The sequence below is a fragment of the Homo sapiens genome, chromosome 12, assembly GCF_000001405.40.
Source record: "Homo sapiens chromosome 12, GRCh38.p14 Primary Assembly".
In the NCBI taxonomy this organism is placed as follows: Eukaryota; Metazoa; Chordata; class Mammalia; order Primates; family Hominidae; genus Homo; species Homo sapiens.
The window spans coordinates 130,544,109-130,558,882 of NC_000012.12; the positions used below are offsets into that span (position 1 = coordinate 130,544,109).

The 14,774-nt window shown below is 44.1% G+C and overlaps 1 protein-coding gene across 35 annotated transcripts in view, besides 1 other annotated feature; it reads right to left on the reverse strand.

The window, feature by feature from the left end:
- Nucleotides 1–14,774, reverse strand: part of RIMBP2 (RIMS binding protein 2) — a 320,167-nt gene that overhangs the window by 147,976 nt on the left and 157,417 nt on the right. Inside the window, exon 3 of one of the 35 annotated variants that reach the window (NM_001393626.1) lies at nt 13,816–13,844. The exons of the other annotated variants lie outside the window; for them this stretch is intronic. The gene's annotated coding sequence lies outside the window, so the exon portion shown is untranslated. The remainder of the gene's footprint in view (nt 1–13,815; nt 13,845–14,774) is intronic. 35 annotated transcript variants of the gene reach the window in all.
- Nucleotides 12,184–12,353: an enhancer, noted in NCBI's record as "experimental_25887 CRE fragment used in MPRA reporter constructs". NCBI's record gives its function as "activates a minimal promoter by MPRAs in K562 erythroleukemia cells, with activity observed for both the introgressed and non-introgressed 12:131040922 variant alleles {active_cell/tissue: K562}" and the evidence as "EXISTENCE:reporter gene assay evidence [ECO:0000049][PMID:34662402]".

Consider the following 14,774-nt stretch of genomic DNA (forward strand, 5'->3'; position numbering starts at 1 on the left):
CCTTTCCCCTGTCTCTCCATTTATCCATATCCTATCTGTAAGGCTTTTTGATGTCCTTCCTCTTCTGTCCTGACCCCTTTCACTTCCTGGCCACACACCCCACCCTCTCAATGTCCTGGAAGGGGAAGAGATGCCTCTGCAATATCGCTCTCCTCCCCAGTAGGTGCTTTTGTTAATCTGTTTTGTCTAGAGCTGTGTTTAAGCCATGCTGCATGGGAAGCACTCTCTGCTGCTTCCTGGGACAGGATTGGTCAGCTGGTCCAGGGTCCCCCTTTAAGCCTGATCCTACTCATTGATGCTGAGATACAGTAAGCAGGACAACCAGCAAGACTGCCGTAGAGAAGACACCACTCGCCTCCCTCTCTCCCTCTCCCTGCTTCTCACTCCTTTTAGCATCTTAGCACGCTGGTCATGTTTTACAGGCCTATACCATAGCAGGCAGCAGAGTGTTATAATCTAAGATTTAGATCCAGATGTAACTGGAGGCCTTTTTTTTTTTTTTTTTTTTTGAGATGGAGTCTCACTCCATTGCTCAGGCTGGAGTGCAGTGGCGTGATTTCAGCTCACTGCAACCTTTGTCTCCCAGGTTGAAGTGATTCTCCTGCCTCAGCCTCCCGAGTAACTGGGATTACAGGCATGTACCACCACACCCCGCTATTTTTTTAGTAGAGATGGGGTTTCACCATGTTACCCAAGCTAGTCTCCAATTCCTGAGCTCAGGTGATCTGCCTGCCTCCACCTCCCAAAGAACTGGAGGCCTTTATACTTCAGGTTGCATACTAAGACAGATGGAGAGAGTGCGGGTGAGAGTGGAAACTGTAGCACAGTGCATCAGCTTCTAGCTCTTGAATATGCATCTGCCTTGGGAACATATTCTGAAGGAAGTGTCTGTGGCAGGACAGGATTCAAGCATTTGTTTTTTTAGGCATCCATTGAACAAAATACCAAAATCTCACATTCACTTATAAAACAGTTTACTGGTAAATCTATCTGGGGACTAAATTGTACCTATATATCATTGTTTTTCAAGTGTTTCATTTGGAAAATTTTTTAAAAACAAGACTGTAAGGTCCTCAAGGGCAGAACTTTCTCGTCAGGACTCCCTGGTACTTGGTACATCTCGAGCACAGGAGATGTTAGAATCAGACGCGTAATTGCTGTCCCAGGCAGCGGCCGCTGGTGACCTGCAGCTACCGAACACATGAAATGTGGCTGTCTCAACCAACGTGTGCCCTACGTGTAAAGCAGACACCAGATTTTCAAGATTCAATGCCAAAAAAATGTAAAATAAGGTATTATGATAAATTATAACATTATAAAATATTGATTTAAATTAATTTATATTGATTTCCTTTTGAAGTAATATTTAAGGTTTATTAGGTTAAATGAACATACATTATTCAAGTTCATTTCACTTGTTTTCTTTTTACTTTCTTGTAACGTGGCTGCTCAAAAATGTAAAATTGCATTCGTGCCTCACACTCAAGGCTGACATTGTATTTCTATCAGGTGCGTCCCTCTAGACCCCAGCCGGGGTAACATGACCGAGGAACGAGCCCAGTTCAGAGCCGCCGTCGAGTGTCACGTCTGGGGAGGAGAGGGGAGCGCCGTGCTAAGGGGCTTACGCAGAATCTTCTTCAAAGCTGTCAAATCTCCATCTCCGCCAGCCATCACTGCTGCCTCTACACCAGAAGCACGTGAGAACGTGTGGGTCCCATTTTTCATACAAATGTTTAAAATATATTCTGTGCCAATACCGTTCTTATCTAGTTTATGGGATTGTGGAAAAACAAAGCCACAGGATTTAGGGCTCATCAAAAAGGACTTAGTTTCATTCTCAGCGCAGTAGGGAAAAAATCTTAACACAGCTTGGGTAAAGAAATGACTAAGAGACAAACAGCAGTGGGTTTTAGCGTGACATATGCCCCTCATGGGAGAGTCCTGTCCCCCTTTGGGATCTCATTGAGCAATTACAAATATCACTGCTTCTTTTTTTTTTTTTTTTTTTTGGGATGGAGTCTCACTCACTCTGTTGCCCAGGCTGGAGTGCAGTGGCGCAATCTTGGCTCACTGCAACCTCTGCCTCCCAGGTTCAAGTGATTCTCCTGCCTCAGCCACCCGAGTAGCTGGGACTACAGGTGTCCACTACCACGCCCAGCTAAGTTTTTTGTGTTTTTTGTTAGTTAGTTAATTAGTTAGCTTTTTGAGACAGAATCTCGCTCTGTCGCCCAGGCTGGAGTGCAGTGGTGTGATCTCGGATCACTTCAACCTCTGCCTCCCAGGATCAAGTGATTCTCCTGCCTCAGCCTCCAGAGGAGCTGGGATTACAGGTGTGTGCCACCACATCCACCCAATTTTTGTATTTTTAGTAGAGATGGGGTTTTGCCGTGTTGGCCAGGCTGGTCTCAAATTCCCGGCCTCAAGTGATCTGCCCACCTCAGCCTCCCGAAGTGCTGGGATTACAGGCTGAGCCACCGTGCCCAGTCTACTGCTTATTTCTGCCAACGTTCTTCAAAGATTAGAAAATATGATATTGTTATTTTCCAGAGACAACCTTCTTTTCATGCAAAACGAAATCTCCCATGTCTAGAAGAAGGCCGGTAAACTGGCAGCCCACCAGGCTGCGCGTGGATGTGTTAGTCAACGCAGTGATTTTCAAGAACTGACTCATTTGTTTTTTAATTTGTTATCTGCCAATATTTCAAAATCAAAACAATTTACATGGAAAGTCTGGATTTCTGACTTCTGTTAAGTTGGAAGCGCTGGCAACCCTGGCCTATTTCCCTGTAGTTTCACTTGATGGAATGAGAGGCTGGCCCTGTGAGATGACTCCTCCACTGACCCACCACAACCCCCACCCACTCCCTATCATCTCCCCAGTGCTGGGGAGGAGGAGGGACAGTTGTTATCATTGCTGTTGTAGTTCTCATATCCTGGAAATATTTCCCTGTCCCCCTACTTCCACTGAGACTGTGAAAATAAAATGCAGACTGGGTAATCTGTTTCTTATGTCTGTGTCTTCTCTATTCTTTAAACAAAAATGCTTCTGTATGTTTTCACCTAATACAGCAAAGCTCAAGACAGTTAGGGCTCTTTTAATATTGAAGACAACTAAAAAAAAATCTTTAAGTGTGCATACGCTCACACAGAAAGAGTTCTCCAAGCCTTGAGTTTCTTTAGCATTACTTAGTGTAGTTGGTTTCCTGTCCCAAATAATGGGGGGAAATATCTTTTGGGCACAGTTGTGCGGATTGTTTAGAAACATACATCTCTGATTAATATAAACATTACCTGCAACACAGAGCCCGAAGGCAGCCTGTTTTCTCACTATCGTATTTTATAATCTGTTAGACTTATTGCCATGTTAATCAAAGGTCTACTTTTCATGCTAACACTAGCTACAGAAATTGTCTCCCAGCAGTTTCCATTTTGAGGCCTTGAGACATCATAAAACCCCAAAGCAGCAATGCTGGCCTGGCAACAGGGTACAGAGATTACATCGATCCCTGCTGCAAAAGGAAATGAAATGCCTGAGCTACTCTGTCACGTCAGCCCCGAAATGGGGAAGATCAGGACACGGCTGCATCATTAGCGATTCCCAACTGGTTCTTCAGTAACTCTCCTGATGCCAGGGAGATCTCAGAGCAAAGCACGATCACAGAAAACTGCCTACGCTCGTTCCCACTCTCCAGTATTCTTCTGTTTTTCATCTCAGTGAAGACGGATTAGAGAAACTTATTATATTTAAGAAATACTCATTTAAGCTTCTAAGCAGGAGGTTTCTACCAAGAAAGGCCTAATCTCTCTCTTTCATCTCTTTCTGCCTACTGAATGTCTTGTAATTCTGCTGTTGATGATGCACAGACCTCCATGTATGGGGCTAAGGATGATCGTATGTCAAGTAGTAGACACTTTCAGCAGAAAAGCCTGCCCTGGTCACCCTCTGGTGACTGACCATGATCCAAAGACCATCAAAGACCAAAATGTACTCTCATTCAAAGCATGAACAGGAGTGACGGAAGACAAGAAGCCCACGACGGAAGACAAGAAGCCCACGGCTTGTTCCACTCGGGCCATGAAGTTAAGAATGTGAACAAGGGTGACAGGCATGATTCTGAGGCCCAAAATACACAGAGACAAAGCAAACTGAGGCACAGAGTTCTGAAGCCCCGTATCTCTCTAATTTCTCATCTTCCCCTTTGCCACCATTTCTGGAATGGTCTCCAAGTTCAGTCTCTGTAGGTAAAAGGCAATGGGTAATTTAAGAGTTTCATGTTTTATTTCCATGCCTTCCACTGCATTTTCACAGCTAAAGCTAAGATTGTGATCTCCCCAGCTTATCAGGCTACAAAATGTTTTCACGTGATCTATCATGCCCACAAAACTGCCCTTAAAATTCCATCTCTGATCTTTCCCAGGAGACATGCTCATCACAACCTTGCTGCCTCTTGGACTTTGTGGGTTTTTTTGCTTGTTTGTTTTTGAGACAGAGTCTCACTCTGTCACCCAAGCTGGAGTGCAGTGGCATAATCTGGGCTCACTGCAACCTCCACCTCCCGGGTTCAAGCAATTCTTCTGCCTCAGCCTCCCAAGTAGCTGGGACTACAGGCTCCCACCACCGTGCCTGGCTAATTTTTGTATTTTTAGTAGAGACGGGGTTTCACCATGTTGACCAGGCTGGTCTCAAATTCCTGACCCCATGGTCCCATGGGGTCCCCATGGGAGGCCTCAGCCTCCCAAAGTCCTAGGATTACAGGCATGAGCCGCCGTGCCCAGCCTACCTCTTGGACTTTGTTTTAATCGGGTGAGACCCTTCTTGAGATGACCACTCTTGATTAGCAGCCCTGTGGTATTTTTCAAAGGATTTTTGTGAAACTGACTCTGTGCCAATAATTCTGCAAAAGTATCTCTGTGAAAACTTCTACGTCTGTGCTAATAATTCTATTCTACCCCTAATTAAATACTCCTAGGAAACTTGTAAGAAATGCAGACATAGGGGATTTTATTCAGTGTGATTTCATTTGGGGAGGACTGCCTAATTCAAACGTGTAACTCTAGGCTGGTGGATATTTCATCATTTTCTCCAGCACTGAACCAAGAGCATCCTCAAATCCAAATAAAAACAGCCTCTACCATATGGACTAAGCTGGCATCTGATGCCCATCCCGGGGGAATGATACGACGACAGTTTTTAAATAAAGGTGAAAATGACTTGGTGATCTTTGGCTACTGTCAAGAGATAAAACAGTCCAGTGTTTTTTCTTAACTTGTATTTTAGGCTTGGGGTACAAGTGAAGATCTGTTACACAGGTAAACTCATATCACAGGGGCTTGTCGTACAGATTATGTCATCACCCAGGAATTAAGCCCAGTACTCAATAGTTGTCTTTTCTGCTCCTCCCACCCTCCACCCTCCAGTAGGCCCCAGTGTCTGCTGTTCCCCTTTGTGTCCACGTGTTCTCATCATTTAGCTCCCACCTACAAGTGAGAACATGCAGTATTTGGTTTTCTCTTCCTGTGTTAGTTCGCTGAGGATAATGGCCTCCAGCTCCTTCCATGTTTCCACAAAAGGCATAATCTCATTCTCTTTTATGGCTGCATAGTATTCCATGGTGTACATGTACCACATTTTCTTTATCCAGTCTGTCACTGATGGGTACTTGGGTTGATTCCATGTCTTTGCTACTGTGAATAGTGCTGCAATGAACATTCATGCGCATGTGTCTTTTTGGTAGAATGATTTACATTCCTCTGGGTATATATCCAGTAATGGGATTGCTGGGTCCATGGTATTTCTGCTCTTAGCTCTTTGAGGAGTCGCCATACTGCTCTCTACAATGTTAAACTAATCTACACTCCCACTGAGAGTGTCCAAGTGTTCCCTTTTCTCCACAATCTGTCCAGCATCTGTTACTTTTTGGCTTTTTAACAATAGCCATTCTGACAGGTGCGAGATTGTATCTCACTGAGTACACGCTGTTGATGTAATTCAAGTACTTCTGAAAACAAAGGGTAGTTATCGACTACATTGGAACTATGGGAGGAGAAAGGCCATGAGTGAGCGTGTTTGTCCTGGGAGAAGGGATGTCTACTGCATCAACTGTGGCTTTTGTATGCTGCTCATGTAGGTTCCATTTCTCTGTCTCAGACTAAAGGGGACCTACAACTTGCTCCACCCAAAATATTTCAATTTAAGAGATACACATAGAGAAAAGTGATGATGTTCAGAAAGCTTTCTCCTGAAAACATAAAGACAGCCCAGGAACATTTTTATTTGAATGGTAAAAATGATCACACAGCAAAGACAAAAGTAGGCTGAAACCTTCAAAGTCAAATGAAAGTAATTCTGAAGGGCGTCTGTACTTTAATTATATTGGGTGAATGTTGGTGTCCAGGCTGTGGTCATGGTACCACGGTGGTGAATGATGTTTCCACTGGGGTCAGCTGGGTAAAGAGTATACTCCTGAACAACTATGTCCTATTTTTGCAATGTTTATGTGAGTCTAAACGTACTGCAAAATGAAAAAAGGTTAAAAATTAAACTATAAAATGCCATGTCATTAGACATGATGTGGATGGCCCTCTGCCAATTCATCCATGATTTAACAGATACATTTGGTTTTCTTATTACACTTGAGGTGATGTATTAAGTTCTCTGGGAGATTCTAAAAGACACAAAAGGTAATCTCTGTCCTCAGGGAGCTTATGGTCTCCTTGGGAAAACAGAGACATAAACAGAGAGAAAGTTTTAAAATGACATTTATGGACTGTAAGTGACTTTTGAAGCTGCACATAAGTAATCATGAAGTTACTGAGATGAAAAGTGGGTGCCGCACATTAACTGGAAAGCAAGCACCTGTGTGTCTAAAATGTGGTGACATGATGTGTGGCACCACCTTCCAGAAGCTGGTGTCTATGTGCTGTTCATGGCTGATCCCACATTACCTGACCCACAATAATCACCAGGTCTATGTTCATTATTGATTGGATACAGGTGAATAAAGATGCTACTTGACCTAACTCTCAGAAGATTAAATCAAGTGAAGCAGGAATTACAAAAAGGAGGGTGACTCCAGCAAGAGCCCCAGATGTGGAAGTCCAAGCCACACCTGGAAAACAGGATCTCTGCCAGCTAGCCTGGCCAGTCATGATGGTAGAGAAAGGTGGAAAGAAGCTGGCATCAGAGGGGCTTAAATGGCAGGAAAACAATTCATATAATTGTGCTATCACCCTAGAAACCCAGAGACTGTTTCCCATGATTTGATTTGTGAGATATTTCTCACTTCATCTGTCTTATCTGTGTTCATGGGTACACGGCCATAGGCACTCAGATGTTGCATGAAAAAGAAATGTTAATCTAAAAAAAATGTCCCATAGTTTGCTATTTTTAAAAATATAGAATGCAAATCATGATAATTTTCTTCTTTGCCTGTTCTTAGATTTCTTTTTTTTCTTATCTTATTGCTTTGGCAAGGGCTGCTAGTCCAACAGTGAATTACAGGGGTGTTGTCATGCCTATAATTAGTTCCCTGTGTCCAATTTATAGAATTGTGCATTCTTGACAAAAGAAAATGCACAGATAGAGCAAGGTGAGATAGGAACCCAAGGAAAGAGAAGGGACTCCATCTGTAATGTTGCAGTGGGTCCCTCCAATGCTGCAAAGACCCAGAGCAAGCCTCAAGGAAGAATTCCACTTAGAGGTAATTCTTTTCCACAAAGGGGCCTTCCAGTCATCCCACAGAAGTGGATTCCTACATTAAATCCCCAAGTCACCATGTAGTCTTGCAGTTTCACATTATGTTAGTGGCAAATCATGAATTATGAGCTTAAAATAGGTGTAAACTGACAAAACTGCATCCAGTGATTTCAGATCCCATGTTAACTACATGAATTGTTAAACCAATGTTAAAGTCGTTTCCACAGCATTGGATTAAATTAGATAATGGGTTGCTTGGGCTCATAACTGCTTTAACATCTATAAGATGCATTCGCTAGTATGATGCTAAGGCATGGCAGACATAAAATCAATAAGAGAGCTTCTAATAAATGAAAGAATATCAACTGCTTCATGTGTTTTAGTGGAGAAATCATGAAATTCACATTCTGTGGAATAATTTTGGTCAGCCAGAGTAGGGGGTAGAGGGCCGTGGGCAGTGTATACAGGCTCAGTCAAAAGAAGCCAAATATTTTTCATGTGATAACCACATAAGCAAAGTTACCTTAAGACAAATCATGTTTTCTTTCCAAAAGTCACTTGAAAAGTAAATAAATTTATAAAAGAAAATTAGTGCATTAATATCTTTTTCAAGACAATTATATAACTGCAATAAGTTAGGACAAGATTTGTTTAAAACATAACAGGAAATAATAATGACAAGATAATGGCTAAAATGATAATGAGAGTGTTCTTTCCCTAAATAGTACTCCACTAAAATATGACATCTTAAAAACTGCTGGTGAGCAGATCAGGAAATGAGCATCATTAGTCCTGACACTAGAAATTCATGCAGCAAGGTCATGTTTTCACAACAAATCAGCTTGTTCATTCTGCCAGTTCAGTACAAAAATTAGTAGACAAATTCATGATAAAAAGGATCATGTTAGTCTTTTGTCTGCATTGATCATAGAAACTGATTAGAAAAGTGAGATTGTGTACATCCCAGGGTGACAGAGCCTTGTGCACTGTCCAAGGTGCTGATTAAGAGATACCCAGGGTCATTCCATTTTGCAGCAATAGTTATCTCAGAGAAAACAGGACAGGTCGCCGGGCGTGGTGGCTCACACCTATAATCCCAGCACTTGGGGAGGCCGAGGCAGGCGGATCACGAGGTCAGGAGATCGAGACTATCCTGGCTAACATGGTGAAACCCCATCTCTACTAAAAAATACAAAAAATTAGCCAGGCGTGGTGGCAGGTGCCTGTAGTCCCAGCTACTTGGGAGGCTGAGGCAGGAGAATGGCGTGAACCTGGGAGGCAGAGCTTGCAGTGAGCCGAGATCGCACCACTGCACTCCAGCCTGGGCAACAGAGCGAGACTCCATCTCAAAAAAAAAAAAAGAAAAGAAAAGAAAATAGGACAGATCACCTCTGATTCAGGGAAAACATGGAGGAAAGGGAAGGACAACATATGACTGGCTAGCCCCACACCAAGGAAGCACTGGACACAATAACACATACTATTATTATAACAATTAACACCTATCAAATGCCTCTTTCTGCCAGCTGCTGTGTTAAACACTTTCCCTAAATTTTCTCTTTAACATTTACAATAACTCTATAATGTGAGCATAATTATTATCATCCCTTATATATCAATATATCAAGATGTATATGTCAATATATCAATCTTAATATATAGAATTTGAATGCTAGGTGTTAAATAACTTGACAATTAGGAGGCCGAGGCAGGTGGATTGCTTGAGCCCAGGAGTTCAAGAACAGCCTGGGCAACATGGCAGAAACCCGTCTCTACCGAAAATACAAAAATTAGCCAAGTGTGGTGGTGCATGCTTGTATTCCAAGCTACTTGGGAGGCTGAGCTGGGAAGATCACCTGAGCCTGGAAGTTCAAGGCTACAGTGAGTCCTGATTGTGCCACTGCACTCCAGCCCGGACAACTGAGGGAAACCTTGTCTTGAAAAAAATTAATAGATTCATTAAATAACTTGACCAAAGACATAGAGCTGCCAGGTGGCAGTTCTGGGACTTGAACTAAAATCTCTGTCTCCCCAAACTCTACATAAAGATGGAGAAACTGTTAGGAAACTAGAGTTAAATTCAGTTCGTTGGTGGTGGCCTCAAAGAATATAGAGAAGGTATTGGAATTAAGGACTCTAGATTTATGGGATCACAGTAAAAATTCCAAGGACGAAAGAAATACATATTTATTCCTAGGTCCAGCAAACATTTACTGCAAGCCAACTGTGTTCCGAGTTTGGAGCACAAGGAGTGACCATCTGTAAACTCATTGATCTCGGGAAGCAGTGAATTAACTATAGACAAAAAAGAGAGAGAAAGCATATGTAATAGCAAAGAATAGGGACTCTGGGAGCAGGTACAGGAATCCCGACTTCAATTTCCTGTCCCATCATCACTAAGTGTGAGATCTTAGACCAGTCTCAACTTCTCTGAGCTTCAGTTTCCTCAATTCTTATGCACCTCAGAGGGCTTTTCTGGGGCCTAAATGACATAATTCAGTTCAACGTTTGCTAAAGTACCTAGCACACAGGAAGTGCCCAGGGAGTGATTAGCATTCTGCCCCCTCATTCAAGCATCCTAATGACTCTCCTGAGATCCAACACAAACAGGTAGAGAGTGCATCTGAACTAGGTGTGAAACCTCATGTTTGTGGTTATGAAATGGATACAATATACGGCCCTCATAAAGTGACCCTACTAACATCACCCTCAAATTCAATGACAGTTACTTAGGCTTACGAATACAGACTAAAAACAACAGAAGTTGTCAGTGAAGGCACTGTTGAACAGTACTCCTAAATGTTTATTTAACAGATATTTGAATTCACTTACGTGCTGCTCTACACATTTGATAAACATTAATTTGTTCAAAGTTCAAAATAACTATGCAGTGGGTGTCATCATTATCCCCATTTTAGAGAGAGGAAACAGAGACAATAGAAGTTGTCAGTGAAGGCACTGTTGAACAGCATTCCTAAATATCTAACAAATATTTGAATTCACTTATGTGCCGTTCTACACATTTTATAAACATTAATTTGTTCAAAGTTCTAAAGAACTATGAAGCAGGTGCCATCATTATTTCCATTTTATGGAGAGAAAAGAGAGACAAGAGAAGTTGTCAGGAAAGGCAACGTTGAACAGCATTCCTAAATATTTAGCAAAGATTTGAATTCACTTATGTGCTGTTCTAAACATTTTATAAACACTAATTTATTCAAAGCTCAGAATAACTCTGTGAAGTAGGTGCCATCATTATCCCCATCTTAGAGAGAAAAAACAGAGCCAAGACAAGTTAAAAGACTCACTGAGGTCACACAGAAAAGACTTGAACCCTGCGATCTGACTCCAGTGTTTGGGTGCTTAACTACTATCCTGTATCAGCTCCCTGTGGTGAACTTCTGCCTCTGTTGAGATGAATCGGGAAAACAGCTTATGTTGAACAATCAGATTCAGGAGAAAGCCCTCGCAGGAAAAAATGGTAAATTTAAAAAATAATAATAATAAAAAGCCTTTTCCAAAAGCCCATGTTGGCTCCTGGCTATGGCAGCAGTTAGTCAAAATGAGAAGCAGCGTGGGTCTCACATGATGCACCCCTCACCGTCCTGGACACAGACGGCCTTAGTATTTATACTTTAGCCTCTGAACTTTATTCCACTTAATGAACTCAAGCACCATAAATGCAAGCCTGAACACACAGCATGGCTCATTTGAAGACAGAAATATGATTATATTATTACAGAAAAACACATTGAAGTGGTAAGTGACAAAAGTGTAGATACATTTGTTTCCCAGAAAACCATCTGAATGTCTTAAAATCTAATAAAAGATCTATCCGGGGCACAGGAAAGCTGTTCAACAACCGCCTCACCTCTGATTTATAGCAGGCATTTTTATGATGTTTTTATGGCTTTGACCTCAGAAGGATTTCTCGATAAAGCAGCTAAAACACGAAACTGCTAGTGCAAAAGCCAGTTGCATGTACCAGAGGAGGGAGATTGTCCGAGACCTTGAAAATAATGCCCCATGCCTGGCAAAAGTTAATCGTCATCTGGTTCCATTCTGAGCAATAATCATGAAAGGCAGCCGTGCAGGCCGGCTCTCAGAAATACATTTCAATGAGCCAGGCCCATCGCCAGGCACGGAGAGGAGGCAGCACCCGACAGGAACATCATGGTTGTCATGGCAACCACATGGCATGGCAGGTGAGCCTCTGCCCCCTCGTACTTCGGGGAGGAGGAGAGGAAATGAACAGGATGAGCAGCACTGTGCTAGATTCTGACCGGGGAGTCAAGGCTTGCTGCACTTGTGTTCCTGGTGTCAAGCAAACCCGTGTTTTCAATGCAGAGTTTTGTTGTTCTGTTTTGTTTATCACTCCACAGCAGGCCCACCCTGGCAACGTGCACTCTGTCTGCCCGGATCTTCATTAGCCGGCTGCAGGATAAGAAGCACTGTGGCCCAGACCTTCCCCTCATGTGGCCTGCATAGGATAAATTCATATCCAATGGATCAAGGTGGTTTCTATGAAGCCCTAGAGACCGATGATTCATTCTCACTGTTTGCATAATTTTTATCTTACCATTTGTCTAAGATAAATGATTGGAACTCGGGAAGTGGTACCAATCAGGGTGCTGTCTGGAAACAGATAGAACCTCCAGCTGGGATTCTGAAAAGTTAGACAAGGAACAATGTAGAGGGGCATGGGCAGAATTAAAGTCCAGCCAGGGACGCTCGGGCACTCAGGATGGACAACCAAGCAACTGTGAGAAGCTGGTGACCCCCACATGGGGAGACCCAGGCCAGGGGAGCTGGAGCCTTGCAGGGAGGTGCAGCTGCTGGAAACACCCCACCAGGAAGGAATGGAGACGGGGGAGGCTCCCCACCTTCTCGCCTGCTACCCTCCCAACTCAAGATGGTGCCATCACCATTGGCCAAGCCCAAATGGAAAGCAGACAGCTAGAGCCCAAGTATGCAGTGCAGCCCCCAGGAACAGTGTGGAGAGGAGCAGGAAGGGGGTCAGGATGAGATGTGGAGAAGGTCAGAGCACCGGGCCAGTGAGCAAGTGAGCCAGCACTGTGCACCCTTAGGGCGTAGGTGCAGAGACGTCTTGCATCTCGGCTTCTTGATCTAAACAAGATGGTCATATCCTGTTATGGGTTAAATTATGTCCATGACCCCAAGTTCATATGTAAAGTCCTAACCCCCAGTGCCTCAGAATGTGCCCTTGTTTGAAAATAGGGTCTTAGCAGATGTGAGGAGTTAAGATGAGGTCATACTGGAGTAGAGCAGACCCTCGTCTCATATGCCTGTGTCCTTATCAAAAGGAGACCTTTGCACACAGAGCTGCACACGGGAAGAATGCCAGGTGAAGATGGGCAAAGAAGGGTAAAGCACCTACAGGCCGAGGAGTACCAAGGGTGCTGGCAGCCACAGAGACAGGGAGAGGCCTGCAGTGGAGCCCCCCACAGCCTCAGGAGGACCCAGTCCTGCTGGCCCCTGGAGCTCAAGCTTCAGCCCCCAACTGTCACGCCACACGTTTCTATCTAAGCTGCCAGTTGCTCCAGCAGCCCAAGAAACTCATCCGTGTCCCATCAGGCCATCTGAAAATGCAGTCAGGCCTGCCCTCAGCCATGCGAGTGACCTTGGAGGCGGGTCCCACCCTAGTGGGGTGAGCTGGGATGTGGAACACCCCCTGCCCGGGCTCAGAAGCAGAAGCCCCTTCCAAAGCCCGCAGCCCCAGGTGATGCCTAGGCAGACTCACCACGGACTCTGAGCAGAAGTCTTGGCTGAGCTGTGCCCGAACTCTTGACCCAGAGAAACCACAAGACAGCAGATGTGTGTTGTTTGAAGCCACCGAGTTGCTGTAATTTATTACACAGCAATCGGTGACAAATAGGTCACAGCTATAGATGACAAATTCAGCTACCTGCGGAGATTGATTTTTAAAAACATATTTTAAAATCCTCTTTTTTCCTGTACTTATCTGTAGACAAGAGTGTCACCTTGTTCGATGCCCCGCCTTCATCTAGAGACACCACCACAGACCCTGGGGTCAAAGCGCCTTGCTCCAATTCCTGCCCCTTCCCAGTGAGCAGCTGTGGCTTCGGCAAGTTACTTACTCCTGGCTCCTGCGACCCCGGTTCCTCACCTGAAAAGTCGGGCGATAATAGTGTCCACCTCATTGTGTTGCAGAAGGAAATAAACAAGCAAATAAGAGGAAATATGTGCTTAAGACAGTGTTCAGACTCACGTCTGGCATAGAATCAATGCTCAGTGATTATGAGCTGTAATGATTACTATGGTTATGACAACCATGATTTGATTCTATTCACCCAGGAATGAAACAACAACAAAATGCAATGGCAGGCTGACTTTTCCTGGGGTCATTCTTGCCGGTTTTTTTAGCTGACAGCATCCACTCAAGTTCTCCCCTCATTGTCTCACGGAGAAGAGCTTGCTAATAACACCCTAACAATTAGAAGGCAGATAAATCTGGAAATAAACATTTCCACAGTTATGATCATTTTGGACATATGGGATCATAATATTTTATGATCACCAACAGACACACCTCTCTCTGCAAACACACACAGCTGCCGGGGTGGGGCTGGGCTTTGCACTTCCTGAGATTGAAAGAGCAAATTTTCTTCCTCACAGTGATGGTGACAGACAGAAATCAGCTGCTGGCTACTTCCACTCAAGTCAGGCTAAGGGTACGTCAGCAGCCGTGCAGCTCAGTCCGACTCCAGGGACCCAAAAAAGAATGAGGCACGCTGTTAGGTCAGCAGGGAGAGCCCCAGAGACAAAGGGAAGAGACCGAGAATGCAGCCAGCCTGTGGTGTCACTCACAGGGTTGGGTGTGCAGTCAGAGGCCAGGCGGCCCCCTTGAGAAGGGCTGGTCCCAGCAGCGCATCCAAGACCTGCAAGGGCATCTGAATCCCCTGTGAAAAGGGTGATGATGACCTGCTATGTCCAGGGAGGAGCTTGCAATTCTGTGTTTCTAATCCGCTTCCAAGGGGACACTTTTCCTTGCTAAAATGTTAAATGACATTTGCTGTTAACAAACACTATATACTTC